The sequence below is a fragment of the Homo sapiens genome, chromosome 5 (assembly GCF_000001405.40).
Source record: "Homo sapiens chromosome 5, GRCh38.p14 Primary Assembly".
Classification (NCBI taxonomy): Eukaryota; Metazoa; Chordata; class Mammalia; order Primates; family Hominidae; genus Homo; species Homo sapiens.
Window position 1 is genome coordinate 116571694 of NC_000005.10, and position 26005 is coordinate 116597698.

At 42.7% G+C, this 26005-nt stretch overlaps 1 protein-coding gene and 1 long non-coding RNA gene across 7 annotated transcripts in view, besides 4 other annotated features; one reads left to right on the forward strand and one right to left on the reverse strand.

The window, feature by feature from the left end:
• The window catches only part of SEMA6A (semaphorin 6A), a 131269-nt gene extending 128139 nt beyond the window's left edge, over positions 1 to 3130 (reverse strand). For 4 of the 6 annotated variants that reach the window (XM_005272042.5, NM_020796.5, XM_006714663.3 and 1 more), the window contains exon 1: positions 2492 to 3130. The gene's annotated coding sequence lies outside the window, so the exon portion shown is untranslated. Of the gene's footprint in view, positions 1 to 1027; positions 1648 to 2491 lie in introns of those variants that run through there. The other 2 variants (XM_047417451.1, XM_024446138.2) reach the window with 2 other exon arrangements.
• Positions 407 to 1188: an enhancer, noted in NCBI's record as "H3K27ac hESC enhancer chr5:115907796-115908577 (GRCh37/hg19 assembly coordinates)". NCBI's record gives its function as "activates a minimal SCP1, AML or CMV promoter by ChIP-STARR-seq in naive H9 embryonic stem cells {active_cell/tissue: H9 hESC(naive)}" and the evidence as "EXISTENCE:reporter gene assay evidence [ECO:0000049][PMID:30033119]".
• The window catches only part of SEMA6A-AS2 (SEMA6A antisense RNA 2), a 36783-nt gene continuing 13502 nt past the window's right edge, over positions 2725 to 26005 (forward strand). Inside the window, exons 1-2 of the long non-coding RNA NR_147170.1 lie at positions 2725 to 2846; positions 19282 to 19409. This is a non-coding gene — a long non-coding RNA (SEMA6A antisense RNA 2). The remainder of the gene's footprint in view (positions 2847 to 19281; positions 19410 to 26005) is intronic.
• Positions 2886 to 2965: a silencer, noted in NCBI's record as "silent region_16259". NCBI's record gives its function as "represses an Ori minimal core promoter by ATAC-STARR-seq in GM12878 lymphoblastoid cells {active_cell/tissue: GM12878}" and the evidence as "EXISTENCE:reporter gene assay evidence [ECO:0000049][PMID:35858748]".
• Positions 5826 to 6461: an enhancer, noted in NCBI's record as "H3K4me1 hESC enhancer chr5:115913215-115913850 (GRCh37/hg19 assembly coordinates)". NCBI's record gives its function as "activates a minimal SCP1, AML or CMV promoter by ChIP-STARR-seq in primed H9 embryonic stem cells {active_cell/tissue: H9 hESC(primed)}" and the evidence as "EXISTENCE:reporter gene assay evidence [ECO:0000049][PMID:30033119]".
• Positions 6462 to 7095: an enhancer, noted in NCBI's record as "NANOG-H3K4me1 hESC enhancer chr5:115913851-115914484 (GRCh37/hg19 assembly coordinates)". NCBI's record gives its function as "activates a minimal SCP1, AML or CMV promoter by ChIP-STARR-seq in primed H9 embryonic stem cells {active_cell/tissue: H9 hESC(primed)}" and the evidence as "EXISTENCE:reporter gene assay evidence [ECO:0000049][PMID:30033119]".

Consider the following 26005-nt stretch of genomic DNA (forward strand, 5'->3'; position numbering starts at 1 on the left):
ATAGGTGGAGACATAGTTCTGCCACTGTATTTAAGGTTAGGTTAATAATTAACTTTGGTGCCTGGAGTAGTTTAATCAAAGCTTACTGTAAATCATAAAACTGCTCCATGTAGACTAAACACAGCATTAAAAAGTCATACAAAATTCTTGCAATCTTGACCGCTGGTAGCCATTTGGGTACGGTATAAAAAAGTGTAGAGTATTTTTAGTCAGAATTAAACATAGGCATCTTTACTTTGGGGAGAAAACATAATTAAATAATTAATTAAACCACCAGTCCTCCCCGCCATCACTGTAGCATACCACAGACTTGATGCCCAAGATGTGTCCACCAGGGGAAGGACGACGAACAATTTCAGGACTAAAGAAAGACAAGGCAAAGGCACTCGACCTTCCCATCCTGGCAAGACTTAAAAACCAGCGCTGGGGGGCATTAAATAGCTTTTCTGAGACCTGCTGGCACAACACTGCAAGTGGGTTAAACGGCTTTTCAGATCTGAGGTAAAGAAAGTTGTGCGTACAAGGGCGAGTGTGTGCGTGTGTGTGTCCATGCACGCCTGTGTTTTAAACCTTTCACAGATCGCATTCAGTAGCGTAAAAAAGCTGAGCGTAAAAAAAGGAGCGATCCCACTGTGGCTGTGCCTGGCCACCGCAGTTCCAAAGCAGCCACCTTTCTCCCAAAGACCGACGCGAAAAAGCCTGCAGGGCTCCCCAGTGCGATACAGGCCGGAGACTCCCTGGAAGTGCTTGCCCCGGCTGTGAAGACAGCGCCTCCAGTCTCCCATTCCTCTCCCGCTCCACGCACACCTGGCTCTGCTTCCTCCCTCCCTGGATAGCCACGCTGGGAAATCGTGCGCAGGGAGCAGATGGCTCGGGATTCTGCACCTGAAGCTGCCTACTTGCAAGCCACTGAGCCCCGGCCTGTGTCCACACGCACCTTCCCCACAGCCTCTGTCCACAGTGGCCGCACCTGCCTCCGGGGTCCTGCTTCCCCATTCATCCCTTCCCCGACTTGTCGAGCAAGTACCGCGGGCCAGGAGGTTCCACTCTCCAAAGGGCCGGGATCTAGCTCCTAGCTGCATCCCGAGCTGTCCGCATGATTCCCTCCAGGTCCGGCTTCCCTCAGACTGCACATGCTGAGCCCCAGTCCGGTCGTGCCTGCCGCCCCTGGCTTTCAGGGAAACTTTCCAGGAGCGCCTGGTCTAGTGACCCCGCCGCTGTAAAGTGGGAGGAGGCGCTGGGCGGAGGGGCGGCGAGGGAGCGGGAAAAACAGCGGAATTCTGTTTCCTTTCCCGACGTCCACAAGCCCGGGACCGCTCCCTGGCTCCCCCCGTGCCGCTCGGGTCTTGCGAGGAGGGAGGAGACCTCAGGATCCTGTTTTGCACCATCTCCCACAGCGAGGAGCTGAGCAAAACGCGGAGAATCGGGACAAGAGACACTTCCCGCCCCAGAAGGATCAGGCAGGGTGGGTGGGCACTGCCCGGCTTACTCTCCAGCGCCCCATTGCCCCCATGGTAGCGCCCTAGGACACAGTGAGGAGTCGGAACAGAGCCCTAGTCTGGGTTTCAAACCCAGGGCCATCTTCTGCCAGGTCTCTCACCCTTCCCCCTCCTGGGTCATCTTTCCAGAGCGAGACCGCGCTGATCTGGGAGGAGGGCGTACCGTGCGCCAGCCCGGTGCAAAGGGCTCGGTGCTTCAGGAGGGACGCAGCCGCGACGGGCTATATCCTTGCCGCTCGGGTTGGGAGCTGCGGCGGGGGACAGGACCCATGGCGGGGGCGCCGCGTCACCCGAACGGCTGCTCCCGGACACTTATTCGAGCAAACAAAGCCCGGAACCTCTGGTGGCAGCGGCCACAGGAGCCAGGATCTCACCGAGAGACAGGGCGCGCGGGTGCCTAGAGCCATTACAAGTTTCTTGCACTCCACGGAGCCCAGCCCAGACCCCACACTGACAACAAAAGATTCTCTCCGCTTCCACACCGTCTCCGCGGAACCCCTTCTCCCACCTGGCACTGGACGAAAACAGCGCTGTTATACCCAACCCCCTCCAGCCCTCGAGGGCAGAACCCCTTCCCCTGCCTTCGACACACCGGGCCAGGGAGCTTCCGAGAATCCCACCATTTAGGGCCCGCTCTGCTCCCTGCTGGGCACGCGGGAGGATGAGCCTTGGGTCTCGCACACACACCCCCAGGAGGAACAGCCATACGCGCCGTCGCGGCCCGGGGCGGCGCCGGGCGTGTGCGCAACGCGGGTGGGAAAGCTCTCGACGTGGAGCCGGACGCACTCTGGGGCGCAGGGCAGAGAGGAAAGGCAGGCAGGGCTCACGGCTGCTCCCCCAGGACCGGGCAAGGCTCGGGAAACAGAGACACAAGACAAAATAAAACGCAGGCACCACAAAGCCGACAGCACGCGCTAGCCACGGCCCCGGGACCCTCAGGCTGGAGTCCAGCTGCCCGGGAGGTGGGGCGCGCCCGGGCGCCCGGGGCGTACCTTTTCGGTGCATCGACGGACAGGCGGCCGGGGCTCGGAGCGAACTGGTACAGCGTGTATCCCATTTAGTAATCCATTATCGAGGGGATCTCTCCGGGCCGCGGGCTGCGCTCTCTCCTTCGCAAGCCTTTGTCATTCCTACATGTGTGCTTGTCTCTTTGGGGGAAATAGTCGCGGCGACTACTTTCTGGGATGCAAACGCGATGTGTTCATCTCCAATGACGAGCGGAGAAGGGGAGAGGAAAAAAGAAGCCAAAAAAAAAAAGAAGAAAAAGAAAAAGAAAACCAACAAGGAAGAGGGTAAATGTTCAAGAAACTCTTCTCCAAATCCAAATTCCACTTGGATTCCACTTCGGTGAGTCCCCTTGGTGGTGTCTGCGCCGATTAACAAGTCATTTCAGGGCGGGGGGCGGGGTGGGGGCTGGGGCAGGGGTGCAAGGCTCTGGCCCGGCTCTGCGGCCGGCAGCGCGGTGCCGCGGGTGTGGTGATGCTGGCCGCTGCTACACGCTGCTAAGCGGGCATCGCGGGCGACCGGCACCGCGGAGGAGCGCCGCTGCTGGGTTCCGAGCGCCTGGGCAGCCGAGTGCGCGGGGAGCGGAGTTGGCTGCAGCCTCACCCCGTGCCGCTCACTACTCCTCTGTCACCGGAGAGGCCGCCGCTCCCGGGCGGAGCCAAGTCCCGGACTGGATTGCGCAGATCGGACTCTCCTTCCGCAACTCCGCCTACTTTGGCTGGCGTCTCCTCCGACCCAAAGGAGAGCTGTGGTGTATGTGAGTGCGAGTGAGCGAGGCAGAGGCGGAGAAACTACGCGGTGTGGCTGCAGGTGGAGCCTTGGACCAACTGGCCAGCGCCGCTTCCTTCCACCAGGATTCCTGGCCCCACCGCGCGCTAGGCGGAGGCTCAGCGGGGGCGACTCTGGCTGGAGCCCAGCCCTCACCTCCCCCACCCCCACATCTGCTCTAGCTAGGAAAAAAAAAAAGAAAAAAAAAATCCCGGACAGCATTGCTGAGTCCTGCCAAATCAGAAAAATAAATAAAAATAGACGTAGTGCAGGAGCGAGTTACAAGAAAGGTTTTGTTCATCGATTTTCTTAAATGGAAAAGTTTTAAAGGATGAGGGTAAGTGAACGGCGAGCTTTTCTGATTCTGATTACTGTTATCAAGAGGTAGATTCCAGAAGCGATGGACGCTCTACGTAGTTAGATGAATTGGATAGAAGCCGGTGCGGTTAAAAATACACTTGGAAGATAAGAACACAGCTATTAATTACGCACATACACACGTTAATAAAGCATGTGAAGTAAGCAAATAAACTACAGTGCAGAGAATGGCGTTTTTAACGACGGCGATCTATTTTAAAACTTAATGAAGTTCACATTTTGTGGACTGGTCTTAGAAATAAGTAAACTTCAGAAATAACACGCATACAATTCCAGTGAGAACCCAAAAGGTTTATGGAAGAAGAAAATCGCAACCACTTCCAAGGCGCTATTGTTATGATCACATGAAGAATGGCAGGCACAGCCTTCTTTCACCACTTGAACTTTCAATAGCTACAAAGTCTTGCAGTTACAGGCTTGTGCCAACTCGTCGGGCCACACCACGTTCCCCTCCCCCTGCCGCTGCGCCCCGAAATCAACTGCGCGCCGCGGCTCTTGCTCCCCAAGGGGGCTTCGCAGATGGTACGGATCCTAGTCGCAACCTTTAAACAAAGTAACATCGGGCGGCCCAGCAGTTCTCGGAGAGATATTTACTAGTCATGGAGTTGGCTGAGAAAAGCAAGTGCGGAGATCGGGGTCTCAGTCCCACTTAGGCCGAGTTTCTTTATATTGGAAACTGTACCTGTTCCCTAATTGGGACTAAGACCACTAATAAGTCCACGTTCCCTCTTTGGTCGCTTCTCTAAGTACAGACATCTGCTTAAGAGGCTTCACGAAGAATAAATGCACATGGGTCAACACCCATTCCCCCCGCACCACTACCACCACCTGGAAAAGGTAGGGAGAATGGTAGGAAAAAAAGAAAAAATCAGTACCCCTGCTGTTCTCCAGAGCTGTCAGCAGGGGCCGCTATCCCCACCTTTCTCGGGCAAAGGCCTCTATAGACCTGGGGTAGTGGGGGGCGCGGCCCTAGGTGCGCGCGCAGCCCCCGCGGCTTCAAGAGCCAGCCTCGGGAGGGGGTTGGGGAGTGTGGGGCGGTGGGTAGGATTGCGCTTTCCCGCGGGTTGGGTGGGGGCCGGCTCCAGGACGTCTCCTCAGAATCCCGCGGGGTTAGGAGAAGGATCTGGCGGCCAAGACGGCTGGATCCCCGGCTGCGCTATTTAACACCCAGATTTTGGCTGATGACTGCAGGGTCAGTGTGAGCTGGTCCCCTGGCTCGTCCGTGCGCCCCAGGCGCGGTACTGCAGCCCCTTCGAAGCTCCGGACCCTTCGGCCTCCGGGGTTTTTTGTCCCGCGCTCCACCCAACCGGGGTCGCCGAGGCTCCTTCTTCGCTCCCCGCCGCCGATTTACATGCTAATTGTGTCTGGGAAAAGTTCTTAAATTGGCAGAATTAGGCAGAGCAAACGAATTGTTTCACAGGCCGAACTAAATTAATTTCGGGTTTAGCTCCTTCCCTTAGAGAAACAAACAATTAAGTTGTTTTATTTGCTTTATGGATATATTGGAAATGCCCCACAACGAGTTTCAGGATATTGTTTAAAGGGACATTATATTCAATATTAATACTTGCATGTTTAATTTGTAGTAACGCTGAGCCAAGAAGCGAGCGATTAAATTTACCTAATTTAAAATTATAGAATACGAGAGTTAAAGAATTGGAGTCTACTTTTCACAGTGAAGAAATACCACCCAGAATCTTCCTGGCAATTACTAGATCCTAGTCTCACCATCCAAGTAGGAGCCCTTCCTTCTGACCACGTGATATTACATTTCCACCTGCCAGAAAAGATGCTCCCGGAGCTGGAAGAAAAGCCAGCTATTGTCAGGCTCCCGAAACCCCCAGGGGAGCACCTGTGGGGAAGCCAGGCTATGAAACCTCATGATGTCATTTCCCCATAAGTGCGCCTCAGACTCACTTCCAGAAGCCTGCAGTAAGTTTTCAGTAAAACCACTGCCCCTTCAAAGCCTTTGAAGTCTGCAATTTATACCCTGTCCCTTCAGGAAAAGAAAGCCAAAGAGTTAAAGAATCACAGAGTGATGAGAAGGTGACTTCAGTGGTTTTTTTTAAAGTGACGTAAAATGGAGTGTTTGAGGCCCTGGTCTCTGGAGGCCATCTGCGGTTAATGTAACTTAGCTGGTGATCTTGGGCAAGTCACTTATCTCTGTGAAGTCCCAGTGGATTCACCTGTAAATGGGGATTCTTATTCTACTCACTTCCCGAGGAGCTCGTGGATTACATTAGATGATCTTCGTAAATTCGGAGTCTAAGGCTGACACTGCTTTATAAAGATTAAGTGTCACATTGTCATCCTTGCCATCCTCCACATCAGTCCTACCATCACATTTTACAGGAGTCACATGGAAGCACAGCGGACAGAAGTGGCTTGACCTGTGTCAGCGATTGGGTCAGGGCTGGGAGCTACCTGTAACAACTCCCCCTCCCCTTCTTCTTCTTTTTTTTTTTTTCAATTTTTGAGACGGAGTCTTGCTCTGTTGCCCAGGCTGGAGTGCAGTGGCGCAATCTCAGCTCACTGCAAGCTCCGCTTCCCGGGTTCACGCCATTCTCTCTCCTCAGCCTCCCGAGTAGCTGGGACCACAGGTGCCTGCCACCACGCCTGGCTAATTTTTTTGTATTTTTAGTAGAGATGGGGTTTCACCGTGTTAGCCAGGATGGTCTCGATGTCCTGACCTCGTGATCCGCCCGCCTCAGCCTCCCAAAGTGCTGGGATTACAGGCGTGAGCCACCGCGCCCAGCCACCCCCTGCCCTTGTTAACTACATGACAGTTCCCGCTTTCCTCAGATCACCTGGAAAAGTGTGGCGGAAGATTAAAATAAAGCAGAAAGATAAACTCAGGTTCTCTGCAAAGACCACATCTAGCTGTTTGATCAGAATCTCTGCTTTGAGACAAAAAGGAGTAATGAACTTGGGAGAAGAAGGGGCTGCTGCTACTCACAGTTCCTTGAGGGTTCATGGGGGCACACTTGGGGAGCACAGTTTGTACATTCAGGCCATTATAATTTATAATCAAGAAATCTATCTGTACCCTCAGCCCCTTCTCCAAAGTTCCCTCCACCTCTTTGCCTTAAGTCAGTGGTTTTAAAATCCACTTGCACATTAGATGACCAGGGGAGCTCTTCAGTGATGCAAATCCCCAAGCTCAAGATTCTCATTCATCAGTAAGGACTGGGACCTCGGCATGGGTAGGTTTTAAAACTCCATAGATGATTCTCATTTGCAGCCAGGGATGAGAACCACTGCCACAATAAATCCTGGCTGTATTCTAGACCAATTACTTTTCCCTAGCCTTTTTCTTGTGGGGGCTGTTTCTTCTTCTTGTCCGTTTATTCCTCTTCACAAAGAAAGGTCCGTATCCTTGCTCCTCATGCTGCTTTCAGGCCATTTCTCCTCCTCTAAAAACCTCTGGCTGACTTTGGTAGCTAAACTCTACAAATACATTTGTGGTCTCATTTTATCCGATTCTTCAAAGACTTATTGTCCTCCTATGTGTCCCTCCACCTGTCATGACTCATGGTAGTGTTAACATCCATATAACCACTGACCCTCTGGCTTTTCCATTTCTTGCCTTCCTCATCTATGCTGTCTTTCTACTCCCCTCCTCCACCTACTCCAGGCTTCATTCTGGGCCTTATTATCAAAAATGCCCCATCTTCCAAATCACTAATTCTGACATCCTGCTTTCCAATCACTTCTTCTCCTTCAATCTTCCTTGCTCATGCACCCCCCTGCATTCACTGATTTCTTGAGGACCTCCAGATTTTGAGTTTTGCTTCTCTCTCGATCACCTATTCCCTCCTTATTTCATTCCTCTCTATGTCTAGCATAGCTTCATAGTATCAGTCCCTCTCTCTTGCAAATACTTTCAATTCTGTTGCTCCTCTATCTTTGGTCAACATCTATCTGACTAAAAGCTAGTTCTGAAGTATGTAAACATCAGCCGTCTCTGCTTCTGAACTGGGCAGCTGAAGCCTGCTGGAAAAAAAAATGTAGATAGATTGTTATCAACCTCAATCTCATCCAAAGCACCGCCTTATCTCAGTTCGTTTCTAACTTTCTCCCCGTAATCAGATATCTCACACTTCATACCTCGTACTTCCCTGAAAAAAACGCAGTCCATCAGAAGGGAACATTTTTGCTTCTGTACTCATTATTTTTTCTTTCTTTCTTTCTTTCTTTCTCTCTTTACTTTCTTTTCTTTCCTTTCTTTTTCTTTTCCTTTCTTTCTTTTCTTTTCTTTTCTTTTCCTTCTCTTCTCTTTTCTTTTCTTTCTAGATGGAGTTTAACTCTTGTTGCCCAGGCTGGAGTGCAATGGCACAATCTTGGCTCACTGCAACCTCTGCCTCCTGGTTCAAGCGATTCTCCTGCCTCAGCCTCCCAAGTAGCTGGGATTGCAGGCACCTGCCACCATGCCCGGCTAATTTTTGTATTTTTAGTAGAGACGGGGTTTCACCACTTTGGCCAGGCTGGTCTCGAACTCCTGACTGCAGGTGATCCACTCGTCTTGACCTCCCAAAATGCTGGGCTTACAGGCGTTAGCCACTGTGCCCGGCCTGTACTCATTATTTTCTAAGTGTCTCTTCTTATGAAGGAGGCAGTGTCCCTCCTCCAGTAGGAGGCCAGTCCCTCCTTATGTTCCCAATAATTCACAGGTTCTCAGAAATTCTGTCCTATTGTCTCCAGACCCTCTCCTGCATCTGCCCATCAGCATGTAAGCAAGCTTCGGTCTTTCCCATCTTAGAAACAGTCCGCCTTGGTCGCCGGGTGTGGTGGCTCACGCCTGTAAACCCAGCACTTTGGGAGGCCGAGGCAGACGGATCACGAGGTCAGGAAATCAAGACCATCCTGGCTAACACGGTGAAATCCCATCTCTACTAAAAATACAAAAAAATTAGCCGGGCATGGTGGCAGGCGCCTATAGTCCCAGCTACTCAGGAGGCTGAGGCAGGAGAATGGCGTGAACTTGGGAGGTGGAGGTTGCAGTGAGCCGAGATTGCACCACTGCACTCCAGCCTGGGCGACGGAGCGAGACTCCGTCTCAGAAAGAAAAAGAAAAAGATAAAGAAACAGCCCACCTTGGATCCCATTTCTTTCAAGCTACTCTCTTCTCTCCTCTCTTCCAAAGCCAGACAGCCCCAGAGATTGTTGATAACCAGTGCTGCCACTTCGTCCTCTTTCATCTACTCAATCCCCTTTTGCTAGTCTTCAGTGACATTCATGACAGTAAATACAGTGGGTATTTTAACGTTTTCATTTTATTTGAATTATCAGCAACAATTGTTTCTTGTGACATACTCTCTGCTCTTGGCTTTGATGACACACTACTCTCTCTTGGTACTCCTCTCACTTTTTTTTTAACTTAGTTTTTCTTTTGAGGAAATTGAAACATTGTCAAAGAATAATATAACCAACATCCCAATTTTCATTACTCAGAATTAATGACTGTTAATATTTTGTCATTTTTGTTTACTGTCTGTATTTTAAGAAATAAAACATGGTGGATAAAACTTAACTTCCTCATCATCAACATCTCTTTCTTACTCTCATTTTCTTTTTTTATAAGTAATGATATTATGAGTTTTCTGTGCATCCTTACATTTTGTTTCTGTACTTTCACATATACCATATGTATCTGTAACCAATATATAGTAATATTTTTGGTTGCTTTTTCTCCCAAATTAACATTAAATTCTATTCTCTCTTGTCCTCTTATTCATTCTCCAGATTGTAGTCTAAGTGATCTTTGAGAGATGCACATCTGATCACATCAAGCCTCTCTTAAAACACCTCAGAGGCATCCATAGACACCCCTAAACCCTAATACAGCCTTAACATTGTGCATGATTAGTTTCTTGCCTACCTCTCTGGTCTCATTTCTGCCGTGCTCCCATCACTGTCTCCCTTTCTTGCAGCATCACTGGTGTTTCAGTTCCTGGAAAGCTCCATGTTTCTTGTTTGTAACTACAGGCCTGCCCTTGTGCTCCTGCCTGGAATACTGGAACTTCCCCTCTCCCTGTTTACCAGACTAACCTCTACTCATCCTTCAATGTCCCTGCCTCCAACAAGACTTCCCTGATAGTCTAGAATAGATCATATTCTCCATTATGTATTCTCAAAGTACCCTGTGAATTTACCTCATAGTGCATATCAGACATTACAGCTAGTATTAATATTTGGTGCAATTATTTGTTGAATGCTTCTCTTTCCTGTTAGATCACAAGTTTCTCAAGTCTTCGGACTATATCTCTGTCATTTATCTTGTATCTCCAGCACTTAACTGAGAGTAAGGGTACATAAGTGAGGGCATGAGTTAGTGAAAGCAATTAGTTCCTTTTCAAGGATTCAGTAGGATAAGGAATAGATCCTTGGATGGAATAGGACCATTTAAAAAGGAAAAGGGGAAAAAAAAAACTCTAGACATATATCATGCTCTTCAGATTTTGAGATTCCAGTTCTAAGGATAAACAAAATCTAGGCTTTCTCCCAACACAGAATTTCGACTATAACGTGTCTAATTTGCTTTTTGAATGGGGAGAAAAAGATTTATGGATGAAAGTGACGAGTAAATATAACAATTTCAAAAACAAGATGCTTAAAAATAAGATGCAATAAGAATATAAATAGAACTCTAGAAGGCTTGTGGAAGGAGATAAACTGCAATTTGAATTCACTGGGAACAATGTCAGAGCATCTCCAAGGACCAGCTCTCCCAGCAAGCTAGAGTTTGCTAACAGTGATTTACTGTCTGCCCCTCCATGAATAGCTTCATGGTGGGACCCCACCCTGTGTATAACAATCATTCCACTGTACCACAGTGGAGTTTGTCTCCATTCACTTCTGATATCAAATTATTGTTTGGGAAATTAAGAGAATGTTAGATGAGAAATAAGGTAATGAATGAACAATACATGTTAAGTAAACCAGAAGTCCATTTTTTTCCTCCACAAAAGCTCTTTACATTTAGTTGAAATCTCTAGTTATGTAACACAGAGTAAAGACTGTGTTTGGCCCTGTTTTCTTCTTTCTGTTGCAAAATAACTTCTTTTAATTGCCCCACCTACTAATATTTAGACTTAAAGATATCTACTGGGATGTGAGTTTGTTTAAAAATGCAGTTACCTAAATGTAATTTATACTTTTCATAACCAGATAAACTGGTTGATTAAGTACCACTTTGGAATTTGCTATTTGGCCAAAAGAATGATGAAAATTAAAATATACTTGTTTTTGAGAACTGCCTTTCAAGGCCTTTGCTTCCAGGTAGTGAAAGCCCTACTAGAAGAGAAGATTGTTCTGGCACATGCTTAAATATAAAACTATGCTTCAATTTGTTCCAATTCTAGTTTTTAGATTATGTGAGAAAACTCTGTACTGATATCAACTGAAAGATTTTTCCAGGCTGTTTATTATAATGAATGTGTATTTAAGAGTAATTTTATAACCAGAGAAATGAAGACAACTAAGGATGTTTTGTTTGCTTTAACATTGAAACTTTAAAACAGAAGACAGCTGTTTTAAACATCTAAACTTAGGCTGGATAATTGGGAACAATGAATGTTCTTAAAAAAGTGATATGCTTGGATCTAAAGTACGTTCTTAATGAAGTATAAAAAACTACATTGTTGAATATAAATTTATCATCTGAAAACTCCCCTGTATATATAATTATAAAATACAAGGATGGTTTCCCAATATCTTAACTTGATCTTGAATTTTGGATTTTGTGCCTGGGACAAGTCTCTAGTTAATTGTCCTATAAAATACTGACTAAACAGCTAGATTTAAGAGTGTTTTCAGATATAACTTTTTGTCTGGAATGAGCTTAAATGATACATTTCAAAATAAGTTATATATAATACAGTACTTTCCAAAGGTTTCAGATTATTCAGTCACTAGTTACCAGTGCCTGATTTGTACTTCACTAAATATAAGACAAGTGGAACAACTGATGTCAGTTTCTTTGTGAAACCTCTTAAATATATCTTTATTCATAACCAAGTACTTATTAACATAAACTAGAATGTTACATTTTAATATTTGAACTGAAAACCTACACACCTGTTTTCTTAAAAACTACTGTATTGTGTAATTTAATTGTATTATTAAGACTCTTATAAAAACATACATGTTGATTTCCTCATAATTCCTCTCCCTTTCTTTGCATGCCTCAAAGCAATTGAGTCATTTCCTTTCTCCCAGTCACCTTTTAAAGCCTTTACTTCTGTTGAAGCAAACTTTTGAAAGTCCCTAAACCTTTACTCCTCCTCACTGTTACTGTTCCCTTCTATTCTCTGCTTTCTGAACAAGATTGCAGACTTGGATTTTTAAGTTATTACAGTCCAATGTTTGACTTTTTTTTTTGGCTAGATTCCCTTGCTTTAGGGAATTTCCTCTTTTTGTTTAATTCCTTAGTCAATACATTACTTTTTTAGGTTTTTTTTTTTTTGTAATCTAGTTAGCAGTTTTTCTTACAAAACACAGCAAATAAACTTTAATAAGATGGTGTATGACAGTGTTAATTCACTAACTATGGATCAAGAATTAGCCTTAGACTCTCATGTTCCTTTCAGTGCATTGTTGATGAAGGTGACTCAAGATGGAGTGATACTTATGAACATTGCTTCTCCTGATCATGTAACAACATCCTCCTTCCGTCTGCTCAGACCTCACAATCTTGAGCTGTCCTTGACTCCTCCTTTTTTCCCATTTGTCACATCCAATTCATCAGCAAATCCTGTTAGCCTACCTTCAAAATATATCCAGAGTCTGATCACTTCTCCGTTTCACCATTATCTCGCTGGTCCACACCACCATCATTTTCATCTGGGGTTGTGCAATAGCTTTAAAACTGGTCTCCCTGCTTCTGAACTTACCTCACTAGAATCTAATCCCAAATAGCAGCCAGAATAATCCTTTAATTCATTCATTAAAATCATGTCCATCCTCTGGTCACAATCAGTGTAAAAGCCAAAACCCATACCACCTGGCCACTTTTGCAGCTCTCAGGCTTTGTCTTCTCCACTTTTCCCCCTCGCTCACTCTACTCTGGCCACCCTGCCTCCTGCCCATTCCCACCTCAGACTCTTGTTTCTCCCTCTTCCTGCAAAACCATTTCCTCAGATATCCATAGGGCTCACTCCATCATCTCCTGCAGGTCCTTGATCCAGCGTCAGTGTCTCAGCCAGGCCTTCCCTGACCACATAAATAGCAACTCCCCATACTTCTTCCTACTCCCCTTACCCTATTCTACTTTTCTTCATAGCACTTATTGCTATCTGACCTTGTATGTATTTACCTGTTTGTTTAATGCCTGTGTCCTACCACTTAGTGGTAAGCTGCATCGGGGCAGAAATGGACTCCTTCATTAGCCACCATAACCCCAGCAATTAGAACAGCACCTGGCACATCCTATACCTGCAGTCAATATTTGGTGAGTGAATGAGTGAATAACCACACCTTACCACATTTAATGCCAATCACATTAAGACCACTGAGGCATGTACTATAAACTAGGTAATATTTAAAACAAATGAGCAGCTTTCTGTCAAGAAATGCTCCCAAATGTAGAGGTTTTTAAAAATGTACTTTATTTGTCTAATGTTGCAGTAGACAGCCTGTGGTACTTTTTTTTTTTAATCCACTTTGTTGGATGATGCTACTTGCTGGTTACTTCAGAAGGTCACTTCCACAGACCACGAGGAAAAGGAGAGCTAGCTTTATGTCATCGCCTCCATCTAGGCATCTATGATCTATGTTAGTCAGCTGGAGCTGCTAAAACAAAATAACACAGGCTTCATGGCTTAAACAACAGAAATGGATTTCCTCAAAATTCTGGCGACTAGAAGCCTAAGATCCAGGTTCTGGGCAATTTGTGTTCTGGCAAGGTCTCTCTTACTGACTTACAGTTCAACACCTTCTCACCATGTCCTCACATGGCTTCTCTTTGATGCATGAGAGCAGAGAGAGAGGGATGTTGAGAGAGAGAGTTAGTTCTCTGGTGTTTGTTCTTAGAAGGGTACTAATCCCATAGAATCAAGGCCCCACCCCATGACCTCATTTAAGCTTCCTTACTCCTAATACAGTCACACTGGAGGTTAAGGTGTCAACATATGAAATTTGAGAGAACACAAACATTGAGACCTTAACAGCCTCCCTTTCAGGCGTAGCTGAGTCCTGTGGTATCCCAGGCCCGCTCTTGCCTGGGCTGGCTTACATAAAGGAGGGGCCGGGAGGGCTAGTGGCTTGAATCTCACATTCAGAAAAGTTCTCTAATGATCTATTTTGACCTTTTCTTCAAATAATGTTCACATACACCATATACATTAAAATGTTATATATAACGTATTTATATGTATATGAAATATATAAAAAAATGCATAACATACATACCCCAAAGCATTGCATTTTTATTTTACAAATTAAATATTAATATTTGCACAGGTGAAGCTTGTTTTAGCACTTCTTATTTTTTCATGGAATGGAAGGATGAAAGGTCTGGCCCTGTCTCAATGTCAGAGAGTCCTTTCCTTCTAGATTTGGGCACAGTGTCCACCAAGCTGGCCATCCTTATTAACCTTATCATCCCAACATTGACCCTTCCTGGCAGAAATTCTTTCCTATGTTTTGATGTCTATACAGCTGTGTGCTTCTTGTCTCCTAATTGTGACTCCCACCCATCTCTTGCCTTTCAAACCTCCTTTTTATAGTCTTTTCTTCTCTGGGGCTTCTCCAAAATGAACAAGGTCTCCCATATCCTCAGTGTCTTCACTGACTCATCTTTCTATCTCCTACTTCACCCCTACTATGGCAGGCAAAAGGATCCCAAGCACTTTGTGGCCATTTTTGGGTGACAAGGACTTTATCAGTTGTCAGGGTAGATGCAAAAACATGAAACCTGCTCCACCACGATGGAGTTCACAGAGAAGCCCCTACAGGGGCACAGAGACCTGGTTCTATAAAATGAGGGGCTCTGCTGAGACGTTGTTTGGCTCTTGGGGAGGCAGCATATGTGTGAAAAAGCAAAGGCTTGAGACCTAGAAAATCCAGGTGAGCCCAGGCAACCCTGAGCTTCTTTTTTTCTTTTGAGATTATGTGTCTGAAATCTCCAAGCCATAAGTGTTTGGAGTACAAAAAGGACCCTAGTGAATAAACATGGCAAGCATGCTCTTGAAGCTTTATGGGGGAATGTGTGATTTCCCCATCAATTGTCCCAGTGTCTTCTGCATTGGCGTAATTCAGGCCTGGGGTCAACTTTCCAGGATGACTGTGAGAGAGCCCATAATTGAGGCTCACATTTCCTTGGAATCAAACCGGGGTGTGGGGATCAAGGTGCTTGCCACAGACACCTTGCAACTTTCTTTGATAATGAATTTGGGACAAAGACTCTATTTTAAAAAATACACACGAGAAAAGTAGTGATAATGGAAAAGAGAAGATAAACTGAAAACATGCAAAGTTTTAAAAAAGACAAAAGTAGGAGATTATCAAAGCAGCACCCTTCTGGCCTGAAATCTTCCCCAAACACTGAAACAATGGCCGTGTGGATACTGTTCAAAGAGCTTTGGAGTGTTATCCCATTCAGTTTTTATAATAATGATTCTAATATGTAAGTATTTTTATGATTTTCATTCAACAGACAGGGCAAATGAGGCAACCAAATATTAAGAAGACTTGGCCAAAATTTTATAGGTGTGAAGTAGCGAGGCAGAGTCAGCACCCACACACCTACTGCTCTGCGTGCTCAGGCAAAGAGGGTACGCGTCTTCTATGCAGTTGGTTCCTTGTTTCAGCCCTTTGGGAAAATACACATAAGTCCAAAATGTCTTTGAGGCATGTGGCGTTTAAGGTTACCGCTAATTTAACAAAATATAGGTTGGTCCAAAATGTGTGTAATGTTATGGCAAATCTTTCTCTAACACAATTTTAGCAAATTGTTTACATTTAAATGTGTACTCATTCAAACAAAAACCAAATTATAGGAAAATCTTAATTACAAAGGAGATAAAGCAGAGGTTGGTAATTTGATTTATGAAAACGATTATTTGCTTTTGAGAGGGATCAATGTTGAAGAAAGCTCTTGATTCAGGCTTAATGTCTAACCTGACTAAAATTATACTTACAACCTATGTCTGTTGCATGAAGAATGAATGCACCATAGGTTCTGCGCTTCCAAGTGTGTGGTCAATTTCTTCGGGACAGTGTTGGGCATGGCCGTGTACACCAGTTGATTTTCCTCTTGAGCTGGTTCCAGAAACAGTGAAATACAAAAATGTTTTCTCTTCTTAGAGTATGAGCTTCTAACAACAACAACAACAACAACAAAAATCAACCTCCTGCACTGGGATAACTGACTATCCACTTGGAAAATAGTAAACTTAATTCCTATCTCACGCCACTTTGGGAAATAAATTTCAGATGGATTAAATATCTAAAAGTAAAAGAACAACAAAAACAAAATATCAGAGTTAAAAATATGAGGGTTTAATGAGTACATGAGATAATGCAATTATGATCTTGGGGGAGAGAAAGCCTTTTTAAGACACTAAAAGCAAAACCTGTAAAGGAAAAAAATAGAAAGTGTGACTATTTCCAAAATAAAAATTTTCCAAGGCAAAATATACCATAAATAAAGTAAAAAGAAGGCACATTAAGAGAAAATATTTGCAACCTAATTTGCAGACAAAGGATTAGCATCTAGAATATATAAGGGAGTTATACAAATTTAATAAGACAGTGATAAACAATTTGATAGGAAAAATTGGGAAAAGCACATAAAGGGGCAATACTTAGGAAAACATGAAATTGGTCAATATATATCCCAGATGTTCACCTTCAACATCAATCAGGAGAATATAAATTTAAGCAGTAATATAATATTTTCTTGTACTCATCAGATTGGCAAAGATATTAAAGGTTGATAATACCAAATGTTGACAAATATATGTTGATAATGCCAAATGTTCAAACAGCCTCGTAAATTACTAGTGAGAATATAAATTGGTATAGTCACCTTAGAGGACAATTGGACAATATCTATTAAAATTGATAATGTGCATATTCTGTTACCCAGCAAGTCATCTTTGAGAAACATTCACCTTTGTACACAAAAAGGCATGTATAAAGATTCTCATTGCAGAATTGTTGGTGATTGAAAAAAAAAGAAATGACTTAAATAATTATCAATATGGTGATAGTTATTTAAAATAGTTAATAGACTGGGTGGAGATCAGTCAATGGTTACAAACTCACTTAGATAGGAATAAGTTCTGTGTTCTATTATATAGTAGAGACTAGAGTTAACAGTAATGGATTGCATGTTTCAAGTACTTAGAAGATAGGCTTTTGAATGTTCTCATCACAAAGAAATGATAAATGTGTAAGGTGATAGATATGCTAATTACCCTGATTTGATCTTTACACATGTACACATGTAAGAAAACAGCACATTGTACCCTGTAAATGTGTACAAATTATATGTCAATCATAAAAAATAAAATAGTTAATAGAATCTGGTAATTATGTATTAGAATATTATGCAGCAGATAAAAAATAACAAGCACCCATATACTACTATGAAAATTTACCAAGATACATTTTACAAAAAACAAGTTAAAGAAGCCCATGCACAGGAGGATTTTTTAAAGTGCACAGAATAAAAATAACTTCATAAATCTATGGGTACATTTTATTTTCTGTTTTAGAAAAAAAACTGAATACATGCTTATACTTAGAAATTGATTATGGAGGTCAGACAAAAACAAGAAATGGGGAAAGTATTCCCTATTTAATAAATGGTGCTGGGAAAACTGGCTAGCCGTATGTAGAAAGGTGAAACTGGATCCCTTCCTTACACCTTATACAAAAATTAATTCAAGATGGATTAAAGACTTAAACGTTAGACCTAAAACCATAAAAACCCTAGAAGAAAACCTAGGCAATACCATTCAGGACATAGGCATGGGCAAGGACTTCATGTCTAAAACACCAAAAGCAATGGCAACAAAAGCCAAAATTGACAAATGGGATCTGATTAAACTAAAGAGCTTCTGCACAGCAAAAGAAACTACCATCAGAGTGAACAGGCAACCTACAGAATGGGAGAAAAGTTTTACAATCTACCCATCTGACAAAGGGCTAATATCCAGAATCTACAAAGAAAAATCAAATAACCCCATCAAAAAGTGGGTGAAGGATATGAACAGACACTTCTCAAAAGAAGACATTTATGCAGCCAACAGACACATGAAAAACATGCTCATCATCACTGGCCATCAGAGAAATGCAAATCAAAACCACAATGAGATACCACCTCACACCAGTTAGAATGATGATCATTAAAAAGTCAGGAAACCACAGGTGCTGGAGAGGATGTGGAGAAATAGGAACACTTTTGCACTGTTGGTGGGACTGTAAACTAGTTCAACCATTGTGGAAGACAGTGCGGCGATTCCTCAAGGATCTAGAACTAGAAATACCATTTGACCCAGCCATCCCATTACTGGGTATATACCCAAAGGATTATAAATCACGCTGCTATAAAGACACATGCACACGTATGTTTATTGCGGCACTATTCACAATAGCAAAGACTTGGAACCAACCCAAATATCCATCAGTGATAGATTGGATTAAGAAAATATGGCACATATACACCATGGAATACTATGCAACCATAAAAAAGGATGAGTTCATGTCCTTTGTAGGGACATGGATGAAGCTGGAAACCATCATTCTGAGCAAACTATTGCAAGGACAGAAAACCAAACATCACATGTTCTCACTCATAGGTGGGAATTGAACAATGAGAACACTTGGACACAGAGTGGGGAACATCACACACCGGGGCCTGTTGTGGGGTAGGGGGAGGGGAGAGGGATAGCATTAGGAGATATACCTAATGTAAATGTCGAGTTAATGGGTGCAGCACAACAACATGGCACATGTATACATATGTAACAAACCTGTATGTTGTGCACATGTACCCTAGAACTTAAAGTATAATAAAAAAAATTAAAAAACAAAAGAAATTGATTATGGAAGTCAGAAATGGGGAAAAAGCATCTAGGTACAGGGGGATATTGCTATGGACTGAACATGTATGTACCCCCAAAATTCATATGTTGAATTCCTAACCCCCAGTATGGCTGCATTTGGAATAAGGAAGTAATTAGGGTTAGATGAGGTCAGAAGGGGCAGGATGGGGTCCTAAGTCGATGGGATTATTGTCCTTATAAGAAGAGACACAGCTAGGCACAGTGGCTCACGCCTGTAATCCCAGCATTTTCGGAGGCCAACGCAGGCAGATCACCTGAGGTCAGGAGTTTGATACCCACCTGGCCAACATGGCAAAACCCTGTCTCTACTAAAAATACAAAAATTAGCCAGGTGTGGTGGTGGGTGCCTGTAGTCCCAGTTACTCTGGAAGCTGAGGCAGGAGAATCGCTTGAACCCAGGAGATGGAGGTTGCAGTAAACCAAGATCGTGCCATTGCACTCTAGCCTAGGTGACAGAGTGAGATTCCATCTCAAAAAAAAAAAAAAAAAAAAGACACTAGAGAATTCTCTCTCCTCTCCCTCAATCCCTTTCTTTTTCTCTCTCTCTTCTTGCACAGCAGGGAGGAAAGTCCATGTGAAGACACAGTGAGAAGGCAAGAAGGCATCCATCTGCAAGTCAGGAAAAGAGCCCTCATCAGAAACCAAATGTTGTGAGAACTTGATCTTGGACTTCCCAGCCTCCAGAACTGTGAGAAAATTAATTTATGTTGTCTAAGCCACACAGTCTGTAGTATACTGTTATGGCAGCCTGAGCAGATTATGACAGATGTCAAAGAGAACTTCAGCCTTAGCTGATATGTTAGCTGTAATCTTTTAATGTTTTAGAATGAGAGTGTATGTATGTATTACTCATGTGACTAAAACATTAACTTTTTAAAGTCAACTTTGTCTTCCCTCTTGCCCCATAACCATGCTTTTCCCCTTTATCTTCCTTTGAACAATATTAATTAAGGCCTGTTGCAGACATATGCATTCTGAGCCTTCCAACAAAATTTTTCAAAAAGACCTCTCTTCAGGTCAGAGTCCCTGAAAATAAATCTTCTCACCACAGAACTCAGGGGTGTGTTTATTTATTTTTGTTTAATAAAATATTTATTGAACTTTTATTGAAGTTCAATTAACTTTATTTATTATAAAACAATATTATACTGATATTGTCAGAAATTTAAAGACAAGACAATATCCTCATCACCCCTGCACTGGAAACACTGACCTGATTTCTATTTTTAGGTGTTACTTTCTGGGCTATCTATACGCTTAGCTTTTTTTTGGTAGTCATCAAATGGTTTACATAATTTTGTACATAACTTTTTTCACTTAGCATAAAACCTTTATAGTTGCCATTTTAATGGCTACTTAACATTTTATTCAGTTTTAATTGACTTATCTATTCCCCAGTGGTCGACATCTAGGCCATTTGCAACTTGTTATTATAGATAATGTTGAATAAACATTTTCATATACATGAATTTTAAAATTTGAGTTATTTCCCTAAAATGAGTTCTCAGGGGTATTACTAAACCACACGATACAAGCAGATTTTATGACTATTGATCAAAATTACTCAATAGAGTTCCAAAGCCTCATGCCAATTGATGATGCCACCAGCAGTGTGCAAATATACTCCATTTTCAGCATGGGTAATACAATGTCAAAGTTTTTGCCGATGTAAAAACTTCAGAGGGGGATTCCTCAGATCATCTAAGACTGCTCGGTAAGCTGATTGAAAACCATAGCGATACATAAAAGGGCATGGATTATCTTTTCCATCTGGGCATCCATCTCCTTTCTCTAGGAATAGCACATTGAGGTCTTCTGCTCTCTCAATCCCTGTGGTTTGACAGGACCCCAGCCCCACCCTCAGATTTAAGAATTAGCATATGACCCAGCTTGGTCACTGTCTCTTTCTCCTTCTCTCTTCCTTAATTTCTCTCTATCACACACACACGCACGGGGTAAGGGGTGGATCCAGCAACAACCAAAGCAGAGCCAGGAGGAAAGAGTAAGTCCTGGTGACAGTGTTCGAGTCCATCCATCCAGCTGGCAATGATGCCAGACTACCCCAGGATTCAGAGCCACTATACAGAGTTGAGCCAACTGTGAACTGCAAAGCATTCCCAGCCTAAGGGGTAAACAGGTGCTGAAATCTGTTGTGTGCATCTGGGAGTAAGGGTATGTCTATTCAGAGAAAGAGACTTGTTTATTGTTTTTTGTTCGTTTGTTTCTTTTTCTTTTTTTTTTTTTTTTTACTAAAGGTCCCCATTGCTTGCCAAGCCAAATGCTCACTCTGGAGCCCCTTTTTTCCATTCTCAGAAGGTGCTATGCAGGCTGCCAATAGCTTTGCAGTTATGGGAACCAATAAATCTCCCCTCTTAACTGAAGTCAGTTTGAGGTCTCTTTCTGTCACTTAGAACTGCATGAATCCTGATTAATACATCAGAGTAAGGGATTTTAAAACTGGGAGAGATCTTAAAAATTCCTGAGTACCTAGTGAATACTCTACAGATGAAGAGACTGAGGAGTTTAGCAACTTGCCTGAAATTATTATACCTCTATGTGAGCAGCAGGATAGCACTAAGAGACCGGTTCCCAAGTTAGCTTTCTTTGTAACAAAATATACTGCCCTTCTGTTTACTACCTCTGATATTATTTTATAAGTTTGGGTTTGAGAATCGAATCCTGCAAAGGTGGTTTATCTCTTCTCAGCTACTCTGGCTACAACGTTGCTGTTCCCAAGTCAATATTGGCCCCTTGGGTATAACTTTGTGACTCAACTACCAGTATTTCTTAATGACATAAAGATTTGAAAAATAAAACATAATATGTGATTTGGTAAAATTATTGCTGTATATAAGAAGTCAACTCAGAAACTGCCAAAACACTTGCATTAATTTGTGAGAACACGATGATTAAGGAAATTAAACACTTGTACCCTTTCGCCTAAGATTTCAAGAAATAATTTTTAGATATATTTACACCTATCCTTTAGCTGTTATTAAATACTGTTTAATTTGTGTGTGGTTATTTCCCAAGCCTAAGCAGAAAATTCATCATAGGACTTAGGAGACTCACAGCTAAAGTTCCAGAGTGGTAGCCCCAGGCCAGGGACCAACGAAATGCTAAAAGACCTTAGTATGTCTTCTGACCACGCCCCATTTGGTTAATCACTCCCGCTTGCTTCTGATGTTCCTGAATTTTATTTATCCTGGAGAATCTGTCTTCTGCTCCATATGCCTGCTTAAGCTGAAAAAGCAGGGCGCTTTCAGCTTTTTGATCAATATAATGAAAGGCTGCCCAATTTCTCTGGGATTCTGTCAAAGCCTGTTGTAGTCTCTTCCCAGACAGAAGGGAGTAATTTTCTTCCACCAGACAGCCTTCTCTCAACCCACATTTGCCCTGTGACAATATTGAATCTGATTATCTGCTAAATTCTATAGATGTCTTCTTGTTTTGAGGCCTAGTGTTTTTGACAGTGAACTTTGAACAAATTACTTTTCAAGGAGTAGGTCCTTTGCCTTCTGCTCATTGTGAAACGCATCTCAACAGAGCTCTCAAACTAGCTCCTCCTCTTATCTCATTTTGCCAGTGAAATGGTATTCAGAGAAAGGCATGGAGTGGGTGTTATCAACCCGGAGCTGGCCTTCCTCTCACTAGGAGCTGGACCCTGCCTCTGAGCTTGGATTTTATCTCATTCTGTATCTCAGGAAACTTCCATTATCTATGCATCTTTGTATCATGTTTTAATCATGCTGGAGTCTCACCTACCTAAAAAAAAATTCTTAATCTAAAATTTCCCTTTAGATATGGCCCTACCTTATTTTCTCCCCTTCAGCCCATATTCACTAAAGATTTGTCTGCATGCACCATCTCTACTTCCGGATTTACACCATTCCATATAGGCCCCCTTTTGAAAAACATTTCCATAAAAACAGCTTTGGCTAAGGGCATTAACCAAAGACACCTAAATGACCCAAATACAGTAGATCCTCCCTGAGCACTTGTTTATAATTTCCCTGCTGACTCCTTCTCTTCCATCTGGTCTCCAAACATTTGGGATCTGTAATGGGCCCCCTTTGCCTTTCTCTACATTCTTATTCATTCCCATGATTTTAAAGACTATCCATATGTGGTGACTCCTGAATATGCATCCTCAGTCTGTAGCTCTTCTCTGAGAATCAGCTCCATATGCTCAATTGCCTGTTTGATACCTCCATTTAGATGCCACATAGACATCATCACCCAAAGAGAACTTTGCTTTTCTCCCCAAAAACCTGATTCATGCTTAGACTTCTCCATCTCTGTTTCTCGAATAGAAACTCAGGGACATGACTTGATTCCTCTTTACCCCTCATAATTAATCTATCATCAAATCCTGTCTGTACCATTTCCAAAATATGTCACATCGCTCTCTTCTTTTCTGTTCCAGTGCCACCAGCCCTCTTGAAGTCACTATAGTTTCTCAATTGTTTTGCAGCAACTAACTTGTTTCTTGAGTCTAGTCTTGCTTCTGTCTAACCCATTATTCATACTTCATCCAGAATAAAGATACAAATTTCTTTATCATGCTCTGTTGCATAAAACCATTTAGTTATTTGCCACTGAACTTAAATACTTGGCTTGGATAATCCTCCAGAATGTAAGCTTCCTGAGGACAGTTATCACTACTGCCTTGTTCTCTATTTTATCCATAGTGCTTAACATCATATTTAACACACGGAAAGCATTTGATAGATATTTTTGAAAAAAATGAATAATAAGTACTCACCATACTGTATATGGGGTTTTTAAAATGTTTTTTCTAAACTAGTATGTGAGCTCTGTGGAAAGGGAAACCATGAATTTTCTTCTTCAACCCTTTATATCTAATAGTTAGCAAAAGGGTTTGTAATAATTATAAAATAATTGAAAATGATGGACGAGCTGTACATGGCAATAGAGTTGTATCCAAAAATGTAGTGCAGAGTGTAAGAGGTATGAAAGAAATTAGATATCTAACACAAAAATATCTAACACACAAAATATAATATCTAATACACAAAATTTAAAAATACATGCATACAGACAGCAATATACATTTTGCAAAAGCACAAACACAAAGATATACATTACACACATCAGATTGGCTGCTTATAAAAGAATGTGGATGGGCTTGGGAAATAAAATAAAATAGAAAAATAACTGAAGTGAGGGAAAATATTTGTTAAATGAATGATGAATGGATTCTGCAGGTGGAATGAAACTCCAAGGTGAGTAAGCATGAATCTTTAAGGGACGGCAAAACAGAGAACTGACTTCATTTATAAAAATCCTTTTGTTAGTTGGGGATTTCCTCCGAGGTTTTGAGAATAAAGATGGAAATGAGGTTGCAATGGCCTGGTCAAGTTGTAATATTCTCAGAAAAGTGATTCCCAGATCTGACGTTGCTGATCTCTAGGAAAGCTCCAGGCATGCCAACACATTCTTAGAGTTTATTTTTAACTCAATTTAATTAGGACAAGTAAATATATGTCATGTAGCACTCATAAGAGAAAAACGGATTATCACATTATATTAATGAGGCTAGGCATTCAAAGTGTGGGACAATTGTCTTACAATCAAAACCTCAGGCTCTGTACTATATAATTTAAGATTTTTCCAAGGTCATCATATGATATATTTGTGGCTCAGCCTGAGTATACAGTCTGCACTTTTCTGTTTGAGAACCACAGCCTCCGGCACTTAAAGCACCAGAGGAGCCAAAGCAAAATTTAAAAATCTAAATAGACATTAAAGAACAAAGAAAAAGTAAGAAGGCAAAATTGCAATAAATCTCATTATAAATAAATACTAGTATTTTATCAAGGAAGGCCAACCTCACTATCACACTATCATGGGCACATACGTGACACACATACACACTCTGTTGTATAGCTTAAATTAGACAAATGTAATTCTGAAAACATTGTGCAACTGCAACTTTTCTTATGAGGTTTACTACTTGGTAACTGCAGCTGTGTTGCATAATTGATCATGAAATATTTATAAATTTGGGGGATTTGATTTCCAAAACTCATCAATGATTCTCACATATCAATTTAATTGCAATCATAAACTTGACTTCAGCATCTGGATTACCACATCCTATGTTTCTTCATCATCTTAACCATTCTACTATCTTCATTTCCAAACAGAGAAGGTATTAACTGGGGATCAGACTCCATTTATAAAATATAACCAACACATTCTGTAGTGAGGAATATAACCTGGAGTGTTTTTACTTAGTTGCAGTATCGAATTTGTCACAGGTAGTTTATCTAAATAATAATAACTAGCATTTCTTGAACACTATTATGTGCTGGATTTGGTTAATCAGAATGGTTGATACAAGTGGTTCTCAAACTTGAGTGTGCCCCAGAATTCTCAGGAGGGCTTTGTTAAAACACAGACTGCAGGTCCCATCTTCAGACTTTCTGAGTTAGCAGGTGCTATGGTTTGGACATGATTTGTTGGCTCCACAAAGTTTCGTGTTAAAATTTGGTCCCCACTGTTGGAGGTGGGGCCTGGCGGGGAGGTTTATGGGTCATGGGTGTGAATCCTTTATGAATAGCTTGGTGTCATTCTTGAGGGAGTGAGTTCTCACTCTGTTCCCATGAGAACTGGTTCTTGTAAAGAGCCTGGCTCCTCCTCCTCTCTCTCTTGATTCCTGCTCTTGCCGTATGGTCAGCTCATCCTGCCTTTCACCATGAGTGGAAGCAGCCTGAGGCCCTCACCAGAAGCAGATGCTGGTACCATGCTTTTTGTACAGTCTGAAGAACGATGAGCTGAATAAACCTGTTTTCTTTATAAATTACCCAGCCTCAGGTATTCCTTTATAGCAACACAAATGGACTAAGACAACAGGTCAGGGTTGGAGCTTGAGAATTTACATTTCTAACCAATTCCCAGGTAATGGTGATATTGCTGACCCAGGGACCACACATTGAGAACCACTGGTTTCTACTATGCTGCAGTAGGAACTAAGCTCCAAAGTCTCTTGCTTTTGCTAAGTCCTATGTGGGTGGCAGCCCTCCCTCATCTTATGGCTATGCCATGTGCGTACACAGCTTCCATGGTAGCTGCAACCTAGCAAGAGAGGGATGGAAGAAGCATGGAAACTCCTTGACCCACCTGGGACGTGGATCCCTTGGCTCCCCATCCATTAACTAAAACTCATCCCAGGGGCTTCTGGAGATCCCACGAATATTCTTTCTGCCACTTGGGTGCTTTACATTTACAGTCCTTTCTTTTCACCACAAAGCTGAAAGG